General features: G+C 53.4%; 1 protein-coding gene across 16 annotated transcripts in view; it reads right to left on the reverse strand.

Annotated features, from left to right (window-relative positions):
* The window catches only part of PLA2R1 (phospholipase A2 receptor 1), a 138,683-nt gene extending 136,869 nt beyond the window's left edge, over positions 1 to 1,814 (reverse strand). For all 16 annotated transcript variants that reach the window (XR_922892.4, XR_007071491.1, XR_001738672.3 and 13 more), the window contains exon 1: positions 1,494 to 1,814. Coding sequence is in view for 11 of the 16 variants with exons in the window: in XM_047443729.1 (XP_047299685.1) it covers positions 1,494 to 1,602 (109 nt within the window). In the remaining 5 variants the exon portion in view is untranslated. The remainder of the gene's footprint in view (positions 1 to 1,493) is intronic.
* Between the last annotated feature and the right edge of the window lie 2,561 nt (positions 1,815 to 4,375).

Below are 4,375 nucleotides of genomic sequence, written 5' to 3' on the forward strand. Positions count from 1 at the left end.
TGCCCTGTTCTACCACCTAGTGCCCAGGCAAAACCCACATTTTAAAATGCAAAGGAATAACCACTGCATGGTAAACTTAGTGGGAAGGAATCATACATACTACAGGATCAGATGTGCATCCACAGGAGCAATTTTCTGAATTGACCAAGAAGGTAAGAGCATCTCTGACTTTGGTCACTTTAGAATAAGAATGGTCTTGTTCTACCTGCCCCTGATTAAGCCTCCAGGGAGCTTAGGAAACACAGTCTAGAAAAGACTACCTCAAAAATGTAGACATATTCTACTGTGGAGGAAAAAATGTGAACGCAGATATTGATCACATCTTGTGTTACCCCTTCTCTCCAAACTTATCTCCAAAGGCAGAGAGGATGGAGGCTGTCTGGAGGCTCCTCCTGGCATATTTAACTCCCTCCTGTCCCCCTCCTACTTGCATATATGGACTTCTGCACTTAGGCGCAGGCTTCTCTGCCTGAGGTGGCCCATTCTCAAATGCGGGCCCCTGCAGGCCAGAAATCTCTCCTCCCTCTCTTTACACAACCTTCTGAGTCTCATGTGTAGTAGGTGCTCAATAAGTGTTTGCTGAATTGAACCCCGTTTTTCCACTGAGAGAGACTAAGGCATAAAGGCTTCAGATCACGCAGTTCATGGAGCCACTGGGGCTTCTCTCCCTCACCTGGCCTGATGTTTTCAGGCGGGGTGCGGTGGGTCAGGCCTGTAATCCCAGAACTTTGGGAGGACGAGGTGGGCGGATCACTTGGGCCCAGGAGTTGGAGACCAGCCTGGGCAACATGGTGAAACTCCGTCTCCACCAAAAATACAAAAATTTTGCTGGGCGTGCGGGCGCACACCTGTGGTCCCAGCTACTCGGGAGGCTGAGGTGGGAGGATCGCTTGACCCCGGGAGGCGGAGGCTGCAGTGAGCCGAGATCCCGCCATTACACTACAGCCTGGGCGACAGAGCAAGACCCTGTCTCAAAAAACAAACAAACAAAAAAAGTTTTCCTTAAGGAAGGGATGGACTGGGGAGGCCTGGCTTGGGGGTCACTCCTAGGTGGCGACGCAGACCCTGAGCGCTTGCTTTGCAAGGGGACGAACTGAGCCATCTTTTTGCTATCATTTATCCGTCCCAAATAAGCAGCTCTCAGAAAGTTTCCGTTTTGAAACTTCTCCGACACTCCTATCCCGGGCTGGCTCCGGGCGCCAGAGCCGAGAGGAGTTACCTGCGAGACCAAGCCCCCCCGCCCCCGCCGCCCGACCCCCGCAGGAGCCAGGAGGGTGCCGGGCCGCGCAAGTGGGGTGCTGGGCCTAGACAAGAGGCTGCAGGACACCACCCGCTCCCCCCATGCTCAGGACTGCTGACACACGAACCCCTACAAACGCGGCCGCCCTTGCCCGCCAGCTTGGCCCCTAGCTTCGCCCCTTCTTCCTCTCCTTCGACCACCCCGACCCCCCTCCCCAACGTACCGATCCAGTCCCCGACCCTGGGAGACTCACCCTGCCACTCCAGGAGCCGCTCGGGGGTAAGCGCCGCCGCCACACCCTCGGCGCAGCCCCGCGGCGCCCCCAGCAGCAGCAGCAGCAGCAGCGACGGCGACAGCAGCATCGCTAACCACTGGGCTCTCCGGGAGCCCCTTGTCCCGGGAGCCCCTTATCCCGGGAGCCCAGAGCCGCGTCCCAAGCACCCGGCCCCGCCGCGCGGAAGCGGATCCGTAGCCTCCTCCGCGCCCCACCCCCTCCGGGGGCCTTGCCAGCCCAGAGCCCTGGAGACCCACTCCGCCACCGCTGTCTCCACAGTGAACCGACACTCGGGGCTCTGGGCTGGGATGCGGGAAAGTCGCGGAGGTTTTCCTCGCCCCACCCACTGCGGCTTGGGGAAGGAGGAGGAGGAGGGGTGGGCCATCTGCCCATCCCAGAAATTCCTGCCTTTGGGGTGGGGACAGGCGGAGTGAGGCTGCTCGGGTCACACTCTCCGCTCCTCTAGCTTGCAGCCCTGCTCTCTCCTTTCTGGGGGAGGCCGAAGAGGAGTTGTGGGTGAGCGATTTGAGAATCTCCGGGACAAGGAGCCTGACATCCGGGTTTGCAAACCACCTGGATTCTGGTAAACACCGCGGATTTGCAGCGGGCAGCCTAGAGTGAACCCAGCTGCTCCGCGACGCAGGCGCTTTGGGAGGGTCCTGGACTCCTTTGACTTGTGGAGCACTGGAGACACCTGAGGGGCCACGCCGTGGTCTCCACCTTCCTTGCCCCAGAGTAACCCGGAGATTCTTCTATTCAGCTCCTTCGGTTTTGAAATAACCTCCTCTTTCCAACTCCTTTGATCCCCCAAGCCCCGCAAAGTAGCCGGGGTCCCTATTATCCCATTTTTACAGCTGAGAAACCCTGCCCAGAAAGTCGAAGTGCTTTGCTCTAGGTTACTTCCTAATCCAGCAAAAGTTACTCTCTAGCAAGTAGGACAGCCCTGGCTAGAATGTAGTCGTTCTAACTGTCCTCCTTCAAATAACCAGCAGAACACTGGAAGCGTTTAATATTCTGAGAACAGGCTCATATAAGACCTTTCCTCAGCGGGACCTTGACATTAGTCATTAAAACATAAGAGAGGGGGAGGGGAGGGGCAGAAAGCAGAGCCTGGAAGGAAATGCCTAGCAGGGAGCAAGATTGAAGGTCAGAGCCAAATGGGGAAGAAGGGAAAGTGGTTGCCTTGGCCATGGCCTTAACAAAAGGTGCTCAGTCCTGCAGGAACCTCAGAGAGCCTCAGAACTGTCTGTCGAGGACAAAAGGGGCAAGCGTTTATCCATGGACTTTATCCTTCCCTGTTGGTAAGGGAGATCCTAGGGTTATTAACTCCTCTGCACTGTTCTACAGCAGTGGTGAGTTTCAGTCATGGTCCCATACCTTGTCTCTTAGAAGCCCTGGGTGCATAGCATGGCAAAAGGTGAGGCGCTGTCAGGTTGTTTCTCAGAGGGTTGGGGGGTGGGGGACAGCCGGGGGAAACAGGCTGCAGAGGGGGCTGGAATAAGAGGTGGGTTGAGAGGATGTGAGAGGTTCCAATGTGTGTAGAGTTTATAACATATCATTACATGTAGAATTCAGCATCCTTGCTTGAAAACATGCAGAAAAGAGATGCTTTAAGCCTAGTAGATTACACAGACTTCAGCCACAAACTATGTATCCATCTCTCCTATGGCCTCAGAACTACATTGCTATGGGAATATCCCCGTAGTATTATGATAGAAGATTTGGCCCTGCCCGAGCAGGCTGGCATGTATTGCAGCAGGCAAGTGCAATGCACATGACATAATTAGGTCATAAAACAGGACACTGATGCTAATCTCTGGTGAGGTCCAGGGCAGTGAGAGTAAAGGGGAGAGAGACTAGGCTGGAGTGGGCATAGAGGCCTAACTATGCTCAGATAGTATGGTGGGTATTGGGAGGAAGAGGCTGTTCTAGGATGGGAAGAAATTGTGAAAAAAAAAATTATACAAAGGTTGGAGTGAGAACTGCTTGTATGGGAGAGAGTGAGGCATGCCTGGCTGAAATAAAGGCAGCCACTGGGGCACCCTGACGAATGAGGACAGTTGCTGGGACATTGGGCTACCTCTCACTGGCTGTGGACCAGGGTGAGTTATTCACGTGCTATGGTCCTGTTTTAGTCTCTGTATAATGAGGGGGGAAAATGCCTCCCTTGACCCATAGCAGATGCTATTCTGAAGTAGCAGAGCTAGGTCTGTGAGTAGGATAAGAAGGGAGAAACAAACCTTATTTCATCTTCAGAGCAATTAGTATAATGAAGAGAGGTGTTGACAGCTTCCTGGCCTACCAACCCCGTATTTTCTATTCAACCATTAGAACACTCAGAAAAGAGCTACTTTTTCTTTTTTTAAAAAAAATCTCTTCCTGAAACACTGCAGCTTTGAAATGGAAATCTGTGGTAAAGGGCTTTTTAACCTTCAAGAAAATGACCAGCACCCATATCCTGGGCTCACGTGTGTTTCAGGTTCATGAGGCAGTGTAGGGTCATGGTTAAATGAGGCAGCTCTGCCACTTACCAGCACACCACTTAGTTTGCCCCAGCCTCAGTTTCCTTCTGTGTAAAATGGAGATAATAATGTTTGCTTCATTGTGTGGTTGCATTAAATGAGCTAATGTATGCAGAGTGCTAGCACAGTGCTAACACACTGTAAAGTTCACCTCTGGGAGCTGTGGGTGTGTGGGGAGGGAGTGAGGAGCAGAGAGCAAGAGCAAAGGAGAGCTCAGAAGCCATGCTACAGAGCACTGTGCTAGTGGTAATTATGGCTCTGGACTTCAGCTGGGGAACACAGCAGGGAGGGCTCAGTGCCTGCTGGCCTTTGTACAGCTTCCCATTGCTTCCCTTCTCC

This window comes from Homo sapiens, chromosome 2, assembly GCF_000001405.40.
Source record: "Homo sapiens chromosome 2, GRCh38.p14 Primary Assembly".
In the NCBI taxonomy this organism is placed as follows: Eukaryota; Metazoa; Chordata; class Mammalia; order Primates; family Hominidae; genus Homo; species Homo sapiens.